We start from the raw sequence: 20676 nt of genomic DNA on the forward strand, positions 1-20676 counted from the left end.
TGTCCCATCACTACTCAAAGTGTCAGGTTTCAGAGCAGATTTTTTTGGGTTTCAGATTTTTGGAAGAGGAATACTCAACCTGTCCTACTTTATTGACTTTGTAGCTCAAACTGCTCCAGCTGTGGCCACTGGGGGCTCTCTGACTTGGCTCTGTGTCGCTTTGACATAAGAGTCCCATTATTCTGTTTTTTGTTGTTACCTTCAGGCACTACAAGACGCTCAGCTCCTGGGCACCATTCACAGCTGCACCAAAGGATACTGACACTTCCTGTGGCCAGAGTCTCTGCAGGCGTCACTGCTTCGTGGAGCTCACTGGCATAGGGTTGGACGGACGAAGCAGGACAAAGGGCCTCCGTGTCCACGTGATCCATGCTCGCCTGGCCCTGCTGGCATCAGTTTGCAGGAGCTCCCTAAAAGGAGGGGTGTTTTCATCACAAAGGACACCCCAAAGCCAGCTGCTGCAAGCTGCCTCGTTCTTCCACCCTCAAGCTCTTAGACTGAGGCCTGGAAAGGCGCTTGAGCTGTGGAGTCAGGAGGGTGTGGGGTTCAACTCCTAGGCCTCCATTTCTGCAACTGAAAAATGGAGCCGGCCGGGCACGGTGGCTCGCACCTATAATTCCAGCACTTTGGGAGGCCAAGGCGGGCGGATCACTTGAGGTCAGGAGCCCAAGACCAGCCTGGCCAACATGGTGAAACTCCGTCTCTACTAAAAATACAAAAATTAGCCAGGCGTGGTGGTGGGCACCTGTAATCCCAGCTACTCGGGAGGCTGAGGGATGAGAATCACTTGAACCTGGGAGGTAGAGGTTACAGTGAGCTGAGATCACGCCACTGCACTCCAGCCTGGGTCATACAGCGAGACTCAGTCTCAAAAAAAAAGAAAAAGAAAAAGAAAAATGGAGCCATTTGAGGATTGCAGATGAGGTGCGTGAAAGCCTGGGGGCCCAGCTGGCTCAGCATATGACATGCATGGCTGAGTGTAGACTTTCCGCTATCTCACCTGATCCTTGCCACTATTCTATAAGGGCCTATAGTGTCCCATTTTACAGATGAGGAAATGGAGGAACAGAGAGGTTAAGTAACTGGCCCAAGGACATCCAGCTACTAAGGGCTGAGATTTGAACACTGTCTCGTTTTTCCATGCGCTCTGGACAACCTTCAAGCTCTTGACTCTATCATCATCACATCCTCCAGCAGCGCAGCCACTTCATGAAACTACAGGTGGTCAACTCTACAGGTGGTCAACCAAGATCACAGCTCCACGCTAGCACTGGCACTCGGGGAAGCCAGAGCCCAGGGAGGCTGTGCGGCCAGCCCAAGGCCACAGAGCTGGCTTATCGGAGATGCATGGCACTCCTGCCTCGATCCCAGGCCAGTAAGCTTTCCACTAGGAAGAAAGATTAAAAGCGTCCTGAAGGGAGGCATATTCCCCATCCCTTGAAGCCAGGCTGGCCATGCCATGTGACCTGCTCTGCACAGAAGGGCAGGGGGGAATCTTTTCTGCACACTATTTTTATAGGCTCGAGATTCCAGGAATTCCTAGTTCATTCTGCAAAGCCACTGGGCAGATGCTGGTCAAGCACAGCTGCACCACCAAAGGCAGCACCTGTGCCAGGGGAGGGTGGGACCTGGTAGGGCTGGGTGTGCCAGGCGGCAGCCCCATGCCCACCCCTCTAGGTCTGCTGCTACAGAGCCACCAGTGGCTCCCCAGGGTCTCCCCTTAACCACCTCAGCAGTGGTACCAAGGCCAGCATGACCCTCCCCACACCTGCCTACCTTCAACAGCAGCAATTCCTAGGCCAATTCTCGGCCCTCCTTAGAAACCTGGGTTCAGGGTCAAGGTGGGTCCGTGTGGTCAAAGCTCGCCGAACTGCTCTAGCACTGCTCATCCAGTCCAGCCACAGAGAACCATGGTCCTGCCCCCTCCAGCCTCACTTCTCAGGGTTCCCTCTTTGCCCCAAATTTAACTCTAAGCTCTTTGGAGACTATACAGCCAGGAAAGATTTGGGGGACAAGTGGCGAGGGACACAGTCTAAGACTTCCTTCAATCTGCATGCTGATTACATTCTGACTAGCAGAAAATGGGGGGTGGCTCTTCGTCTGTTTTGCCTCTATTTCTTCATCTGTAAAATGAAACCACTCACCTCCTAAGGTCTGGCCAGGATGAGATCAGCTTAGCACTCCGTCAGCACTCCTCCTCCAACCCAGCGGTGCTCAAGGTGTGGTGGCCATTCCAGCAGTACCAGCAGAGCATGAGGACTCGCCTCAAAATGCAAATTCTCAGGCCCACCCAAGAGTGATTAAATCTAAAACCCTGGGAGGAAAGGCTCAATAATCTGTGTTTTGGAAGGAGTTCTAATCCACCCACACCCTGTGTTTTTCAACCACAGGGCTCCTCACTCACGGCTGGACCCTGTAGATCACCATCATGGGCCCCTGGCGTGGCTATGAAGCCTGTTTGGCGTGAGTGACTCTGAAGCCCTCCTCTCACCTGACAAGGTATCTTTGGGTTTTCTCCGTCCTCCCTTGAATTCTTTCTGCCATGTGTTTTTCAGATGATAAAGCATTGGTGCCTGGTAAACAGCCCTCCTCAGGGCCATTCGGGGTAGGCAGCAGAAGGAGTGCATCCGAGACCACCTGTACCGCACACAGAGTTGGGGAGATACTGAGAAGGGGTCTCCACTTTCCACTCTTGGACTTTGGGTGACTTGGGACCAATTTCCACTGTGTCCACCCTTTGCTCTCCCGGGTACCTGCAGAAGCCTGAATTCCCCAACACCACCATCCACTCCAGGGCTTCCAGTGCCTTGGGGCTGCTGAGACAACAGGGCCTGGCCCTTGGGCGGCTCTCTCTCTCCCTTCCCAGAAAACTTAGCCCTCCCACAAGCCATCAAAACACACTGTGCCTCCACCTCCAGGGAGCCCTCGTGGGTGTGCCTGGTAGAGCCAATCTCTCCTCTGGGTCACTGCATGCCCTGACATGGCTTTGCACTGACCCCTCCCGCACTTGCTGCGTCTGTCTCCCAAGCTCAGCCTCAAGCTCCTTACGGACATGTCTGTCGTTCCTTGCATACCACCTGGTCCAGCACAAAGTAAGGCATGAAGCAGGCGCCCCACAGCTGCTAATAAACACATAAGAAAACAGGCTCAGGGAGGTTAAGCAACTCCTATCCCTGGGTTGCAGTTGGGGGGAGAGATGAGGGTTCCAGTGGGCTCAGGACAGGGTCACCCATACCGGCTGCACTGAATGCTTTAGGGTGGGCAACACTGTGTCTGCTCAGACCTGCAGGCCCTCCCCTAATGAATGACAGGGCTGGGTCTTGGGGGAGCCCTCACAGTAGAAAACATGAATGAGAGATAAAGGCTTGGCTTTGAAATTCAAGTTCCTTTGTATTCTTCATCAACTTCTTACCAGAGACATGACTCAGATGGGCTTTCCCAGACCTGATCGCTTTGATGTTGCTAATGAAAATATGAAAGGTGATTAAGGAGGACGTTTCTTTTTTCTTTTGACTTTGGTAAAATGTATCATGAGTGACGGATTTGGGCATTTCGGCCTGTTGTGCATTTTCATCATTTTGTTAAGAGGGGAAAAAACCTGAAAAGCCAAAGAAGCTTGAAACCAAGTGTTGGCGGACGCTGCTGCTCAGTGGAACGAGGAAGCCGAAAACCGAGTGTTGGCAGACGCGGCTGCTCAGTGCAATGAGGAAGCCGGAAACCGAGTGTTGGCGGACGCGGCTGCTCAGTGGAACCAGGAAGCCGGTGCTGGCTCTCCAGGCCCACACTGCACGCCCTGACATGGCTCCTCAGTGGAAACTCCTCATGTACGTCGGCTCAGGGTGCTCTGGGCAGAAGCGGACATCGTGTGGGTCCTTGAAAGCCCTCACTCAGTCAGTCAACAAACACTGAGCACCTGCTGCATGTCCCACCCAGGTGGAGCTGAGCTTCTCCTAGGACAAATAGGATTCTGCCCCTCTCCCTGTCCCAAAGCTGTGTGCAAAGGAGCTGTGTGTCCGTCCCCCTACAGACAGGGACTGTGTCTTTGCTGCCAGACAACTTGGGCCCTGGCACAGGCCTGGTGCCAAGGCCCAAGTAGGCCAAGGAAGTAGGGGCGGGGGAGGGAGGTTGGCAGGCAGGGCGCTCAGAGATGAGGAGGCACACCCTCCCCGCCATGCAGGAGGTCCTCAGCTGTGAGAATGACACCAGGTGACTGTCACTTTAACAAACTCCCACTCCGGGCTCTGATGACCCTCAGCTTTGTTGTCAGAATTAAGTGCAAACACTATGACTGACTCCCCACCCCCAGTCATCACAGCCCGGTGGAGTCTGTGTGTCTGTGTTTAATACAGAAGTCCCCGAGGGGCTGCATTCCCTTCAGGTCCTCAGGCCCCAGTCAGAGAAAACGGGGTCTGCTGGTCTCCACCCTGTCCCCTCCCTGTCCCTGGACCCTGGGTCCGCCAAAGAAGCAAAGAGAAGATTCAAGTGCACTCAACCTATGCACATCAACTTCCAGATTGGCAGATGTCAGCTCCCACCCCTGAAACCAGAAAAAAGTTAAGCAAACTGAAAATCAGTGACTTTTCTTAGAATCCTCAGAAAATTGAGGTTACAGGACAAACAGCCAACCCTAAAACTAAAGAGACAGGCGGAGACAGAGAACCACAGCTCACAGTGAGGACAGGCTGCTGGAGCCAGGAACTGGGAGGAACAAAAAGGCAACTTCAGCGAACTGCTCAAGCTGAGTGGGGGCTACCTCAAGACTTAAAACCTAGGGGCTCAGCGTGGGGTGGGGGGCACACTTTTATAAGGCTTACCTTCAGAAACCCCACCAGGGTCTCCAAGTGAATACTGGAGAAAAATCCCACTGTGCTTGACTGGGGTGAGGGGAAAAGGAACCATTCTGAAACACAACTAACATATACAGAGTACCCACTGTATTCCCAGCTTTCTCAAGACAGTGTAAGGGTGGGGTCGCCATGGGAGAGGAAAGTGTGGCTCTTGTCCCCAGAAGCTATGCAACTAGCTGAACAAGACCTAGCCCAGCACTGGGAAGTCAGGGAAGACTTCTTGGAGGAGGTGGTGCCAAGTCAATTCTTAACAAATTAGCAGGAATAAGCCAGAAGAGGAGGCAGGTAAGGACAATGTAGGCAGAATTAGCAGAAACAACACTAGGGGCGTAGTTTTTGGACACCAGTGAGACACCCTGGCCAGGCTGACACTCCTCCTTGCTCAGAAGTACTAAAAGCTTTGGGCTGAGGCCACAGCAGACAGGCGTGACTATCAGTTCCATTCTCTGCCTGGAGTGTTTGTGTGTGATGCTGTAAACGTGCATATGCGGCCAGGTGCGGTGGCTCACGTCTGTAATCCCAACACTTTGGGAGGCCGAGGCAGGTGGATCACTTGAGGGCCAGGAGTTCGAGACCAGCCTGACCAACATGGCGAAACCCTGTCTCTACTAAAATATAAAAATCAGCTGGGCATGGTGGCGGATGCCTGTAGTCCCAGCTACTCGGGAGGCTGAGGCAGGAGGGTCACTTGAGGCCAGGAGGTTGAGACTGCAGTGAGCCATGATCGCACCACTGCACTCCAGCCTGGGCGACAGAGACCCTGTCTTAAAAAAAAAAAAAAAAATGCATATGCTTAAGGACACAGAGGTCTGCACAAACACACCCTGACATGACACATGCTTACATTTTCACCCAAACAGCCGACATACCCACATGTGTTGGTACCACCCTGCACAAAGTCCTACATCCGTGCAGCTTACATTGAGTTTTAACACTAGGCAAATCCACTGTGACCACAGCGGGTCACTTCCGGGCCCTCGTCACCACCTGACCTGCTCATAGATGCAGCCTGGTGCTATACAGTGTGTGTCCAATCAGACCAGAAATTGGAGGAGAAAGAGAGCTCTTCAAACAGCAGGTATCCCGCCTCCCATGCTGGGTTTACAGTTCAAATCAGAGCGCTGAGCGTGAATATGATTTAGATCTAATAAGACCAGGGTGGTATATGGAGATATAGATGCCAACCAATTTGTTTCAATGAATAGCGTAATATTCTCTGTTATTGAAAATTCTGATCATATTAATACCACTCAGTACCCAATCATTGAACAAGCAGATCAAAATGAAATGTGAATTAACACATGGGTGTTGTGATGAGAAACAAACATCCTACAATTCAAAGCTGAAAGAATCCTCAGACATCCTCCTGTCGGTCTCTGTCTCTCCTCCAGCATGGAGCCACAGCCTGTCCTGGACGCTGACCCCACCTTCTCCTCTCTCTCCACCTGCTCCCCAATCTGCACCCTTGGCTGAGGGAAGAGAGCAGAGAATCTTCCTGAAGCCCCCATCACCATCCTCCTCTCACCCCTTCTCCATCAAACCCACCTTTTCTCCAGGGAAGCAGAATCAAGGGTCCAAGCTCCTGGCTGAGACACTTCAGCTCCCTCAGCCAGCCCCACGCCTGGGATGAGCCCAAGGAGTGACCAGCACCTGCCTGGCCTTGGACTCCCCCTCTGGCCACCGTGACACTGTTCCTTCCGGAGCAGGAAGCGCCTTTGGGTGGGTGTCTCACAGAGCCATAAGAGGCCCCTGTCCCTCCCCTCCCTCCAGCCAGCCTAGAAAGTGTATGGAGAGCAGGCGTCCCTCTAGGCCTGGTGACATCGGTACTGCACATGGAGTCCCCTCATGAGTCGCAAGCAGGTCTCATCACTGGGCGCCCTCCTGCCCTGACAGCAGAGAGGGTTTTCTAAGCATTTACAGAACACCGAGCTATGCTGCGCACTGTGGCATGAGCTTCTTCCAGCTCATCTCAGCCTACGAGGAAGGCAGGAGGGAACCCAGGCTCCTGCCACCTTCCTCCCCAAAGCTGCGGCCAAATCAGCGAGGGAAGCCCACGGCCACGCCCAGTAAAGAGGCTGCCCTGAGTGCTGTCCGTGGTGCTGAACCAGCAGGGCTCTTGGGGCCAGCGGGTCCTCCCACCCAGGGCTCCACTTCCAACTCGCCCAGGAGAGGGCGCTGGTCAGTTTTGCTTCATTTCCAGAATTTACCTTGGTTAAAAAGAAAACCTATTTTAAAAATTTTGGGTTGGGCACAGTGGCTCACGCCTGTAATTCCCAGCATTTTGGGAGGCCAAGGCAGACGGATTGCTTGAGTTCAAGAGTTCGAGACCAGCCTGGGCAACATGGCGAAACCTCATCTCTACAAAAAAATTCAAAAAATTTGGCCTGGCATGGTGGTGCACACCTGTAGTCCCAGCTACTCAGGAGGCTGAGGTGGGAGGATCACCCGAGCCCAGGAGGCTGAGGCTGCAGTGGGTCATGATTGCGCCACTGCACTCTAGCCTGGGCGACAGAGCAAGACCCTGTCTCAAGAAAACATTTTGTTTTTAATTGACACATAACTACATATTCATGGGGTACAGTAGGATATTTTGATGCATGTACATATTGTGTAATCATCAAATCAAGGTATTTAGCATATCCATCGCCTCATACATTTATTATTTCTTTGTGGTGAGAACACTCAAAATCCTCTCTTCACACTGTCTTAAGATACATAATACCATATTGTTAGCACAACAGTCACCCTGCTGTGCAATGGAACACCAGAACTATTCCTCCCACCTAACTGTAACTTTGTACCCATTGACCAATCTTTCCCTATCCAAACTTTTAAAATGTGGACTTCATGCCATTTTAGAAGGAAAAAAGCAAAATTACAATTCACATTTCACAATTTACACAGTTGGTTTCATGCACTTTTGACTGTTCCGTCTTGTTTCTGCAAGTTATACAAGTTGCAGCCTCTGGGGAGCTGGAAGTGTCCTGTCCCTGGAGGTCCTTGTATGTCCAAGGACAGCCCAGACCCATCTGCCTGTACTAAAGCACAGAATTTCACATTTGAGGCAGGAAGCCCCACACCTACAGGCCCATTTAAAAACATACAGATGTTTTATTAAGTACTGAAGAGAGATTAAAGGTTCTAAAACGTGTAACATTTGAAGAATAATACCAGAAGCATCCATGTACATAGCACTCGGGTTAAGAAAGTGGCCAGGGCCGGGCGGGGGCTCACAATGCAGTCCCAGCACTTTAGGAGGCCCAGGTGTGAGGACCGCTTGAGCCCAGCAGTTCAAGACCAGCCTGGGCAACATGGCAAAACCCTGTGTCTACAAAAGATGCAAAAAAGGTGGCACACTCCTGTAGTCCCTGCTATTAATACTAGGGAGGCTGACCTGGGCCCGAGAGGGTGAGGCTGCAGTGAGCTGTGATCATGTCACTGCACTCCAGCCTGGATGACAGAATGACACCCTGTCTCAAAAAGAAAAGAAAGAAAAAAACGAAGAAAGGAAAAAATAAAATAAATATTCACTTTGAAATCCTCCACTCGCTACAGGTAACTACTACTATTTTGTATTTTTCATTCCCAGACTTTTTTTTTAATAGTTTACCACATATGTATATCAAAAAGTGTATCAGGCCAGGCACGGTGGTGGCTCACACCTGTAATCCCAGCACTTTGGGAGGCCGAGGTGGGCAGATCACCAGAGGTCAGGAGTTTGAGACCAGCCTGGCCAACATGGTGAAACCCCATCTTTACTAAAAATACAAAAATTAGCCAGGTGTGGTTGTGTGCGCCTGTAAGCCCAGCTACTTGGGAGGCTGAGGCAGGAGAATCACTTGAACCTGAGAGGCGGAGGTTGCAGTGAGATGCGATCATACCTCTACACTCCAACCTGGGTGACAGAGCGAGACTGTGTCTCAAAAAAAAAAAAAAGGATATCGCTTGTTTTTTGGGATGGGATCTTGCTCTGTCACCCAGGCTGGAGTGCAGTGGCATAATCATGGCTCACTGCAGCCTCAACCTCCTGGGCTCAGGCGATCTTCTCACCTCAGCCTCTAGAGTAGCTGGGGCTACAGGTGCATGCCACCACACCCAGCTCATTTTTCATTTTTTTTTTTTTTTGTAGAGATGGAGTTTTACCATGTTGCCCAGGCTGATCTCGAACTCCTGGCCTCAAGTAATCCTCCCACCATGGCCTCCCAAAGTGTGTGATTACAGGTGTGAGCCACTGCACCTGGCCTGCATGTTTTGAACTTTAATTAAATGAAATCATATGAAGTTTTCTTCTGCAACTTTTTGAAGAAAACTTCAACTCCAAGCTCCCAAGAGTCAAGGTTGTTGCACGTGGCCTCACTCATTCCTTTTCCTTGCTGTAGACACAGTGCATACATGTGCATATTTATCCATTATCCATCAGTGGTGGCCACATTCTGTTGTATTTCATTTTGGCTGCTAGGATTTTCAGGCCTCCCAGGACACGTGTGTAATAATTTCTCTATGGGAAATACCTACAAGTGGGATCTCCGGTTTGCAGGAGATGTACATCTCCCCTCATCTTTACTAGATGTTTCCGAATTGTTTTCCAAATTCTCCCACTTCCCACCCAGCAGCACTCCTCACACCCAGGAGCCCCCAACACCGTCATCATTCTCCTTCAGTGTTGGTATTCGTCTGGAAGAAACAAAAAGGACTCTCCCTGTGATTTTGTTTTTGTTTGTTTTGTTTGTTTTTTGAGATGGAGACTCCCTGCGATGCCCAGGCTGGAGTGCAGTGGCGCGATCTAGGCTCACTGCCACCTCCGCTTCCCGGGTTCAAGCGATTCTCCTGCTTCAACCTCCTAAGTAGCTGGGACTATAAGCATGCGCCACCACACCTGGCTAATTTTTGTATTTTCATAGAGACAGGGTTTCTCCATGTTGGTCAGGCTGGTCTCAAACTCCTGACCTCAAGTGATCCACCCGCCTCGGTCTCCCAAAGTGCTGGGATTACAGGCGTGAGCCACCACGCCCAGCCTCCCTGTGGTTTTCATCAGCATTTCTCTGATTCGGGTAAGGCATCCTCCCAATTGTAGAATGACCGCCCTTTTTTCCTCTTCTACTACACCTGCCCAATCTCCTGGCTCCCGTAGGAGCTAACCAATCTCCTGGCTCCCATAGGCGAAGGCTGTTGACAAGATGGTTTCATTCTGAGGAACAAAGGATGTGTCCACAGGGGAACCAGGTGGCCACTGCTGTGTAGACTCTGCGTGCAGCTGCTGCATCTGGAGATCCCAGGTGAGGCAGGCCCACTGGCCCCGGGGAGAAAACGCAGGACAGGGCATCTTCCCAGTTCACAGCCTCACCCCCAGTAACAACCACCCCCTGCAATGAAACTGCACTTTGGGCTCAGAAAACATTTCTTCCAGCTTTGTCCCTTTCCAGCACCCCTAGACCTCGCTGCCACGTGGCTCAGGCAGCTCCAGCTGCAGCCCCCTAAGGGTAGACCACATCTGGTTCATTCTCTCCTGCACCCACAGTGCTTGGCAGAGATCTAGAGTGTGGAGGATCCTCCTGCTGGCTTGGGGGCAGTGGGGTACAGGGAGGAGGTGCCATCTGGGGGCTGCCTCTCTGAGCAGCCCTGGTCCTTTGGTATTGGCGGCCTGATGAACACAGTGGCCAAGGCCAAGTTCACGTGTGACACCAGGGAAAGAGCAGCCAACACTCCAGAGGCTGTCGTGGTCTCTGACAGGCACCCGAGGTCGTGCAAGGGCACTCAGGAGGCAGTCTTAAGGACAGGCGGGGCTGCAGGACTGCCAGCCCCCTCCCAGCCATAGGAAGGCAGACCCTGACCCCTTCCTGCAGCCCCTGGAGGGCAGCCAGTGGCAGAAAGGAAAGGTTGTCTCATGTCTGCCCAGTGTCCTCCCCAGCCTTCTCCAACTCTGGCCTGTGACGTGCCCAGCGCCGTGGCAGCTGTGCCTCTCCCCTCTTGGCTCCTCCAGCTCCTTCCCTGCTCAGAGGGAGACTTGGTGTCCATGACTATCTCCATTTACCGGCTGTGTGTGCTCAGACACTTTAAGCTGTGCCCAGTTTATGGTGTTTGGGCTTTCAAAATGTCTTGTTGTCTTGCTTGTTTTTGTTCATTGAGGTAAAACCATTGACATAATATAAAAGTAACCATTTCACTTCTGTAATCCTAGCACTTTGGGAGGCTGAGGCAGGGGGATCATTTGAGGTCAGGAGTTCAAGACCAGTCTGGCCGACATGGTGAAACCCGGTCTCTACTAAAAATTCAAAATTTAGCCAGGCATCATGGCGGGTGCCTGTAGTCCCAGCTACTCGGGAGGCTGAGGCAGGAGAATCGCTTGAACCCGGGAGACAGAGGCTACAGTGAGCTAAGATCACGCCACTGCACTCCAGCCTGGGCAACAGAGCAAGACTTCGTCTCAAAAAAAAAAAAAAAAAAAAAAAAAAAAGGAAAGAAGAAGTAACCATTTCAAAGCCTACGAGGCCACTGCATTTACTCCATTTGCGAAGCTGTGCAACCACCACCCCTGCCAAGTTCCAGGACATTTTCACCACTCCAAAAGGAGCACTGGTTTCTTTCTGCAGGATGTCAGCATGTCTGGCCCCCAGTGGAAGATCTGGACTCCTGGAGGACAGGTTCAGGGTCTCAGGTGTCTCTATCTACACCTCAGACTGGCTTGCAGTCACTGCTCACCCACGCTGAAGTAGGTAACATGTAGCGATGTGGACACACGGTTCCCAGAGTCTCCTGAGTGTATGTCCAGCACCCTGCAGGGTTACCGGGCATCACCACACAGGGCGTCCACACTGCAGACCTTGGAGGCCCAGGGATGCAGCACAGGCCACATCTCAGGGACAGAGCCAGCCCATAAGTAAAACCCAGTGAAGGGGGTCTGGAGGAGCTGTGTGTGATAAAGATTGGAAAAGGGATGAGTGGTACGAAGGAAGCCACTGCCATCAGAGGCAAATTCAGGGCAGCTGCGAAGCTTCCAAATCCATACAAGTCAAGCCACTGCCTCCCCCAAGACCGCAAAGTCACTTTCCACACAACACAAGTGGGTGCTGACACCTGTGTCTCTTCCAAGGGACAATTAGCTGTCACTCAGCCTTGAAAACAAGGCCAGGGTCCTCTGCCCGCCCCAGGAAGCCGAGCCCCTTCACAAGGGTAACATGCCCTCTCCGTCTAACCCGGGACCAGGAAGCAGCATCTGTCACCCAGCACTGCCGCCCAGAGTCATCACACAGCTAATTACTGCTAATTGTAATATCGTTTCTGTCTTGCTGCTAATACATTTAGACTTGCTAATCAAATCAAACCATTCCACCTTGCTGTGCTGCTTTCAAATAAACATTTCTGCAAAACGGGAAATAAATAAGTCCCAAGCTTTGTTCTCTTCTCCGGAGCTGCTGTCTGCAGAGACTTAGGGTAGGGCGTGGGGGTTGCCGTGTCTCTGGGACCAAAGGCATAGAAGAAGTCTGATGAGGAAACGGCCTTTATGTCCAAAGCTTCCCATCAGGTTGGAGAAAGAGGGAGACAGAGGGGAGGAGAGGAGAGACCTAGAGACTGGGAGGGAGAGGGAGGAGGAGGCAAGAAACTGCCCTAACTGAGCGGCATGATCTGTTCAACACTTTCCCTGTGTCATCTCTACCCTCCTCGGATACTGTCTCCAGCAGCCCCTGGCTGGGCTGGTAGCTCCTTCTCGTGACCCCCTCAGACCTCTGCACTCCCCGCCTCACTCACCAAGTTGGAGTTTACTGATCTGTCTGCAGATCTGGCTATGGTCTTGAAGGTGGGGACCCTGTGCTGTCATGAACCCAGCACCTCACCCAAGGCCTGGCAGGCAGCAGGTGCTCAGGAAGCCCTGGCTCAATGAACAGGCTAATGATCAGGGAAATGTGACTTTCCTGATTCTGCAGATGAGGAAACCAAGACTCAGAGATGCTAAGTGACTGCCTAGCATTTGTGCATCAGTGAAGAGTGGACCTGAGAATTCGTTCCTGGCTGGACAAGCCCTTCACCTGTGCTCTCTCAGAAAGGAGGGGAGGGAGGGGACACTGGCTTTTCTGTGCCCCTTAACAACAGCTACACGGGGACCAACAAAGAAATGTGACAAGCTACAGCGGCACGCAGGTGTTCTGCTCAAGGACACGCTGGGATGACTCTCAGAGTTCTGGAATGGAAACTGACAAAAGGTTGACCATGAAAAGAAGGTAACAAAAGTGTATCCAGTTACTATGGCAACCCAGCTGAAGAACTGGCTGGTGCCTGCACACGTACCCCACTGCTGAGAAAGGGGCTCGTGCCACCCTAGGGCCAGGGGGTTGCAGGACTTCCCAGCCCCAGCCCTCGGCTGCCTCCCGTTGCCTTGGCAAATGCGGTTTCCCCATCACCCACCAGCCCCGAGGGAACGGGGGTGTGGCGGTGGAAACAGCGCTGGGCTAGGGGGTCATGGCACACAGGTTCTCTCCTGGTTCTGCCAGGACTGGCCCAGACTAAGTCACTTCTCCATTCTCAGCCTCAGTGTTTTTTTTTCAGATGAGGGGAACCCGGTGTCCCTGCCGCCTCTGCTGCCTATCAGCTTCTGTGTATCTCACTGCAGGAGTGAATGAGTGAGTGAATGACCCAGTATGAGTACTTTGCAAAGGCTGATCTGGGGCAGGGAGAGAGAAGAGGAAAGACGACAAGATCATGACTGAGCATCCACTTGGGGCAGGCACACCCTTGCCATCACCTACGTGCAACCCTGGGGAGCTGGCACTACCAAACCCTTCCACAGATGAGAAACCTGGGGCTCGGAAAGTCATCCGATTACCCTAAGAGGGCACAGGCCAGCCAGCCAAGTCTGCAGGACTCTAAGCCCGTGTCCTCCCCACTCCTCCACAGGCCCAAGTGCTCGGCGGGTCCTAAGCAAACTCCCCCATGGGCTCACATCTCGCAGCCACTGCTTCTGCCCAAGCAAGAGACGCACATAACCAAGAAGCCAGAAGCTCAACTCCCGTCAAATGAGGCTGTCGATTTTAATTAATTTCAGACTTTGTGTGTTTCTGGCAATTATTTGTAACAAGGTTTACAGAGGGCATTTAAAATTAATGGTGATTTTTATCTGGAAATCATTGATTATTTTTAAGTAGCTCATTAGGGGTGAGTGTGTATTACGGGAGCAGCAGGCTCTGTCAGGAAGGAGGCACCTGGGGCTACCAGGAGGAGCCAGAAGAAGGAAGACGTCTGAACTGTGACAAGTTCAAAGCCAGCAGAGATTATGAAATGATGCTCCCCAAGACAGAATCTGATTTGGACCAAGATGTATGCAAGGGGCCGGGCGCGGTGGCTCATGCCTGTAATCCCAGCACTTTGGGAGACCGAGGTGGGAGAATCACTTCAGGTTAGGAGTTTGAGACCAGCCGGACCAACCCTGTCTCCACTAAAAATTCAAAAATTAGCCGGGCATGGTGGCAGGCGCCTGTAATCCCAGCTACTCAGGAAGCTGAAGCAGGAGAATTGCTTGAACCCAGGAGGCGGAGGTTACAGTGAGCCGAGATCATGCCACTGCACTCCAGCCTGGGCGACAGAGCGAGACTCTGTCTCAAAAAAAAAAAAAAAAAAAGGCAAAACCGGGGGAAATCTAGTGAATGACCTAAAACGGGAAAGCGAGTTGGGCTCCTCTTGCTTCTCACCCATTGACCTGCAGACATGTTGGCATGTTTGCTGCCGCTGGTGGCTCTTAGGGAGGTCCAGCTGTCCCTAGCCACTTGGCCCAGGGGAACTCACTACCTCAGGCAGAGGCTTCAGCATGAACCCCCACTAGTGGCAAAGGCCCTGAGGAAACCGGAACAAAGACTGCAGGGAGGGGTCCCTGTGGGCATCAGCAGACAAGCCTGGAAGAGCTGGGCCCTGGGCCGTCGCAAACACCACACCAAAGGGCAGGCGAGGGAGGCTTAGCACATCATCTTCTGTACTTTTTGTATTTTTTAAAAGTATTTTAAAAGACATAAGTTTGAAAATCTACCCTAAGAAAAACCAATGCAGATGAAGAGAAATGTCTAAACACCAATCACATAAAATGTTAAATGGAAACAATCTAACATCACAGACTGTTTACAAACTGCTACAGTTTTTACTTCCTGCTTTTTACTCAGAGGATTAAACTCCAGGGTAGTCCTCTGAATTATAATAAAACCACTAATATTTGCATAAGCCTTTATAGCTGATACAGATATTATTTCCATTTTGCAGGTGGGAAAAGGGAAGTTTGGGGAGATTCCATGCCCAAGTATTCAAGGCATGTACTCTGAGGAACTGGAGCTGGGCCCCTTTCCGACATGCCGATGTCCTCAATCTTTCCCAGAGGTTAGCAAGGCATGACAGCCACCGCCATCATCATTGGCATCATCACCACCATCATCACTATCATCATCATCACCATCACCACCACCATCACCATCATCATCACCATCATCACCACCATAACCACCATCACCATCATCATGATCACCATCATCATCACCACCATCACCACCATCATCACCATCACAACCACCATCATCACCACCACTACCACCATCATCACCACCACCATCACCATCACCACCCTCATTACCACCACCATCATCATCACCATCACCACCACCACCACCACCATCATCATCATCATCACCACCACAAAAGGGCCAGTAAGAGCTGAAGAAGCATGACCTTCACATCTTTCCATCTGGTCAGGTGGCCAGGGAAAAGGTTAACCTTACCCAGAGCCTTGGTTCTCAAACTTCAGGGGATCCCGAATCTTGTGGGAAGCATGTTACACACAGACTCCTGGACCCAGTGGTGGATTCCCCAGGTATGGGGAGGCACCAGGCTTCCGCAGGTGAACAGAGCTCGGGGATTCAGGTGCAGTCAAGGGGCTGGCTCTGAGGGCCCCTGTGCAAAGCCTGGCAATGCCGTAGCTGGAGGCACATCTGAGAGTTAAACACCTGCTCAGCATGAGAATGAAAGTGCGTGACATACATGCTTATTTGTATTTCAATCCTGCTCTGTAAGTTATTAATTTAATTTGTAAGGTGATAGGACTGCTTATCCTGTTATTTCATGGAAAGCTTTATTTTTCAAGAAAAGTCACATTAGGACTGTTTTCTATTCCTGTTATTTCCTTCCAGAACCTCGGCATTTCCCGCTGGTGGCCAACACAACTACAAGCCCTGCAGAAGAGGAACGGACGGCACCCTGGGCCTGACCTGAGATTTGTCAGACCTATCAAGTGATGTCACAAAGACTCTGCAAAAGCAACAGGAGGTACTAGCCCCTGGAAAATGCTACCTGAGTGTCAAGGTCTTTAAAAGTGATGTTGGCAACCCTGTGGGTTTTCTGTTATCCTGTTAACTCTGCAGGGGGTTGTCAGCAGGGCATCCTCCAGGAACACAAGGAACTTCACTGCTGGGGTATCGACTTCAGTGACTAGGACTTCGAAAACTTTTTGCTCCTGCTTTAAACACACACAAGCATCTTGTCTTTAAGAACATAATCTAACAGCAATATCATTTACAGTTTGTAAATAAATGTAAATTTATCATTTACAAACTTCCACACCCACTATTTATTCATTAAAATTTTACTGTTGCACACCTGAACCTCTTGTCAGAACAGAGAGGACTTTCACTACCTCCATTTTACTAAAGAGGAAACTGCAACTCACAGGGTCTGATTTGCCACCAAGTAGCAAGGCCAACACTTGCAAGCTCTAGCTCATGATACATGAAGAAGTCAAGGCCCAGCCTAGGCAACAGTGAGACCCTGTCTCTAACAAAAAAATTAACTGGGTGTGGTGGCTCACGTTTGCAGTCCCACTTATGGGAGGCTGAACCAGGAGGATCGCTGGAACCCAGGAGTTGGAAGTTGCATTGAGCCATGATTGCATCACCGAGCTCCACCCTGGGCAAGAAAACAAGACCCATCTCTCAAAAGAAAAAAAAAAATGAAGAAAAAAGAAAAACAACTCTAGTCTCTGTTCCCTCCACTGTGGAGATAATATGGGAGATAATATTTCCTCACAGGGATGTGTTGTGATGGCAAAGCAACATGGAAAACACTTTTACTCACCATAGGAGGTGGTCAGTAAATGACAGCTGCCATGACCACCACTGATGTTATCACCGTAGCTATCAACACCATCACCATCACCATCACCATGGGCACCACCGCCACTACCATCACAATGATCACCATCACCACCACCATCACCAGCAGCACCACCACCATCACCATGAGCACCACCATCACCATCAGCACCACCACCACTACCATCACCATGATCACCATTATCACCAACACTATGACAACCATCCTCATCACCATCACCATGACAACCATCACCAGCAGCAGCACCACCATCACCATCAGCACCACCACCACTACCATCACAATGATCACCATTATCACCATCACTATGACAACCATCCTCATCACCACCATCACCATGACAACCATCACCAGCAGCAGCACCACCAACACCATGAGCACCACCATCACCATGAGCACCCCCATCACCAGCAGCATCACCGCCACTACCATCACAATGATCACCATTATCACCATCATTATGACAACCATCATCACCACCATCACCAGCAGCACCATCATGAGCACCACCGCCACTACCATCACAATGATCACCATTATCACGACAACCATCATCACCATGACAACATTACCAGCAGCACCACCACCATCACCATGACACCCATCACCAGGAGCACCACCATCACCATCCTCATTACCACCTGCATCCGCATGATCCAATCCAGATGCATCCAGAGGTCCTTTCTTGAGGGTAAGGAGATGCTCCAGGCCTTGGGTCTTGGTGGATGGGCTGGATCTTATTTCAAAAAAAAAAAAAAAAAAAAAAAAGGGCAACCCAAGCAGGATAGCAAAGGCTCAGTGACCCCCACATGTTTAGTATGTCTGGGAAATGGTCTGCAGTTTTGAGTCAGGAGATGAGACTGAAGAAAGGATTTGAGGCCAGATAATAAAAGCCCCCATCTGTCCACTGCAACAGTCTTGAATTTTATTCCTCAAGTTACCGGCTTCTACACTGTGCTCGCTGGAGCCCCAGATGCCTCCCACATGCCAGTGTTCCTGGAGCTGGGGAGAGGGCAGGTGAAGGTCCTGGAGTTGGGGGTCCTGGAGCTGGGGAGAGGGCAGGTGCAGGCGGGGTCCTGGAGGTGGGGGGAAGGCAGGTACAGGTGGGGTCCTGGAGATGGGGAGACGGCAGGTGCAGGTGGGGTCCTGGAGCTGGGGAAAGGGCAGATGCAGGTGGGGATCCAGGCCCCTGCCCCAGCTCCAAGCAGAGCAGCTTGTCTATCAGATTCATACCTCGAGAGAGGCTAAGAAGACATTAGAAACTTCTGCCATTGGCCAAGGAGAATGAAAGTTCGTGTTTACGCACAGAAGAGTAACATAAAAGGCTAGCTAAACTTGAGACAAACAACTTTGGTCACGGTGTAGTGGACAGAGGCTGGGAGTAAAGAGACCAGTCAGGGGGCTGCTGTAATATTTCCGGTGAAAGCTGCTGAGGGGTGAATGAATAGTGGCAGAGGTAGGAAAAAATAATGAAAACATTGGCATGGAGGTGACATTGGCAAGATGAGGGTGGGAACTAGCAAAGAGGTGAGAAGGAAGGCCAGTGGGACCCCCGGGGAGACCAATGTTTCTGAAGCCAGCAGCAGAAGGTAACGGCCAGGCTGAGAGGCACCAGGACCTAAGCTAAGCTGTAACAGCCACGGTTCTGCTTCACACTTCCAGGTCTACAAGGCGTGCACTCAGATCACCTCATCTTGCATGTGAGCACACAGCGGTGCAAGGGTGCTTAATAACAGGCTCAAGCTTACGAAACTAACAAGGGTCCAACGTGGGACCTGAGAGGTGAAGTTGGGGAGGCTGTGCACAGGGTTAGAGCTCAGAGGAAGAAATCCCATGGTCCTCTGACCACCCAGAGCACTGGCAGCCACCACCTGTGGTCATTACATCCGGACCCCAGCTGTTCCTCATGGTGACAAGGAACCTCTTGAGGGCAGGCATTGAGGTTTACGGTTCTTAAATCCATGGAGCCCCCAACACTCTCTCGTCTCCTCTCTCTCTCTCTCTCTCTCTCCTCTCCCCCTCCCCCTTCCTTCTCTCTATCTCACCCTTCACCCCTCATTGGCTATCAGGCCATAGATTATAAAGGTCTCCCCCAGCAGGTGGGTAGATGGGATGGAAGAACAGGAACTGACGGATCCCAAAATAAGGTGGGCCACCCTGAAGATCCACGTTGTCCAGACCTGGAGTGGACTTGCTTTGGAGATAGTGAGCTCCCCGTCACACAAAGAACTCAACCAGTAAGAATGACTAACAGGGAATCCCTGGAGGATTTGGTCAGCGTTTGTCAAACTTATTTAGGAAGCAGAGCCTAGGGAGAACATCTTTGTGGAATACCATGAACTAATATTTCATCCCATGATACAATCAAGGAAAAACTTTACTGTAGAAAATATCACTTCAAGGCGAGGCATGGTGGCTCACCCACGCCTGTAATCCCAGCACTTTGGGAGGCTGAGGCAGGAGGATGGCTTGAGCCCAGGAGTTCAAGATCATGACCTGGGCATCATAGTGAGACCTCGTCTCTGCAAAAAATAATTAGACGAGTGTGGTAGCATGGGCCTGTTGTCCTAGCTACTCAGGAGGCTGAGGTGGGAGGATTGCTTGAGCCCTGGAGGTCAAGGCTGCAGTGAGCTAAGATCATGCCGCTGCACTCCAGCCTGGGTGACACAGCAAGACCCTGTCAAAAGAAAGGAAAGGGAAAGGAAAAAGGGAAATAGAAGGAAGAAAAAAATATAACTTCATCTTAGCTGCATGTGAAAAAAATGACTAGAAGTCCACCAAAGTCTTCAAAATAGTCATAACCAACTGTAAATTTGTGTCTGATGCTTATTATCTCATTTTGTCCTCTGCTAGAACCCAAGAACCAAAGATGTAGGAAATATGAATGCCAGGGAAAGAAAAGTTTAATTGAGAAAGGTCTGCAGATTGTGTCTTTTTCCCTGCACATCGAGAAAAAAGCATTGTGGAAGTTTAGCAATGGCATATGCTGTGGTCATTTTGGGGCTGCTACACCAAAAGATTAGACTGGGTAATTTACAAACAACAGGAGTCTACTGCTCACAGTTCTGGAGGCTGGGAAGTCCACGTGGAGGGCCCCAGCAGATGGCAGTGTCCGGTGAGGGCTGCTCTCTGCTTCAAAGATGGTGCCTGGCTGCTGTGTCCTCACGAAGGCAGACAGACACCCTCAGCCTCTTTTATAAGGGCACTAATCTTATTTATGAGGGTGTAGCCCTGGGGACCTAATCACCTCCCAAGGCCCCACCTCCTAATACCATCATCTCGGGGTGAGGTTTCAAGGTATGTACTTCAAGAAGGGCACAGCGTTCAGGCCTTGGCTACCTAACTCTCCGCAGCCCATGGCAGGCTGGCGGATCACAGGACCATAGTCTGAAGGGCCACAGATAAAGCAGCCTGGTCAGGAGACCTCAGGGAACTCTTCACATGGATGTTCCTCAAACCCCGGACTCAAGGAACAAGTTGGCGGTGGCGGTGCTGTGCGAGTGATGAGAAGGGCTCTAGGAAGCTGCCTCCAATCTCAGCTTGGCCTCCTCCAAAGAAAACGCTGGATTTTATTTGTGGGTGCCCTGGAAAAGGCCCACCAGCCCTCAAACCTCGCTTTTTAAACCCATGAAACGTGAATCCAACGGGTTAATGTAAGTGGCAATGCCCAATACCTCAAGATGCTGCTACACAA

General features: G+C 51.1%; 1 protein-coding gene across 9 annotated transcripts in view, besides 4 other annotated features; it reads right to left on the reverse strand.

The window, feature by feature from the left end:
* Positions 1–20676, reverse strand: part of PHF21B (PHD finger protein 21B) — a 128844-nt gene that overhangs the window by 87634 nt on the left and 20534 nt on the right. Inside the window, exon 1 of one of the 9 annotated variants that reach the window (XM_047441110.1) lies at positions 200–17725. The exons of the other annotated variants lie outside the window; for them this stretch is intronic. The gene's annotated coding sequence lies outside the window, so the exon portion shown is untranslated. Of the gene's footprint in view, positions 1–199; positions 17726–20676 lie in introns of those variants that run through there. 9 annotated transcript variants of the gene reach the window in all.
* Positions 6834–7128: a silencer, noted in NCBI's record as "tiled region #3533; HepG2 Repressive DNase matched - State 12:CtcfO, and K562 Repressive DNase unmatched - State 12:CtcfO". NCBI's record gives its function as "represses a minimal TATA promoter and a strong SV40 promoter by Sharpr-MPRA in HepG2 and K562 cells {active_cell/tissue: HepG2 | K562}" and the evidence as "EXISTENCE:reporter gene assay evidence [ECO:0000049][PMID:27701403]".
* Positions 6858–7027: a silencer, noted in NCBI's record as "silent region_13871". NCBI's record gives its function as "represses an Ori minimal core promoter by ATAC-STARR-seq in GM12878 lymphoblastoid cells {active_cell/tissue: GM12878}" and the evidence as "EXISTENCE:reporter gene assay evidence [ECO:0000049][PMID:35858748]".
* Positions 10554–11133: an enhancer, noted in NCBI's record as "H3K4me1 hESC enhancer chr22:45375229-45375808 (GRCh37/hg19 assembly coordinates)". NCBI's record gives its function as "activates a minimal SCP1, AML or CMV promoter by ChIP-STARR-seq in naive H9 embryonic stem cells {active_cell/tissue: H9 hESC(naive)}" and the evidence as "EXISTENCE:reporter gene assay evidence [ECO:0000049][PMID:30033119]".
* Positions 13308–13928: an enhancer, noted in NCBI's record as "H3K4me1 hESC enhancer chr22:45377983-45378603 (GRCh37/hg19 assembly coordinates)". NCBI's record gives its function as "activates a minimal SCP1, AML or CMV promoter by ChIP-STARR-seq in naive H9 embryonic stem cells {active_cell/tissue: H9 hESC(naive)}" and the evidence as "EXISTENCE:reporter gene assay evidence [ECO:0000049][PMID:30033119]".

The sequence above is a fragment of the Homo sapiens genome, chromosome 22 (assembly GCF_000001405.40).
Source record: "Homo sapiens chromosome 22, GRCh38.p14 Primary Assembly".
Lineage (NCBI taxonomy): Eukaryota > Metazoa > Chordata > Mammalia > Primates > Hominidae > Homo > Homo sapiens.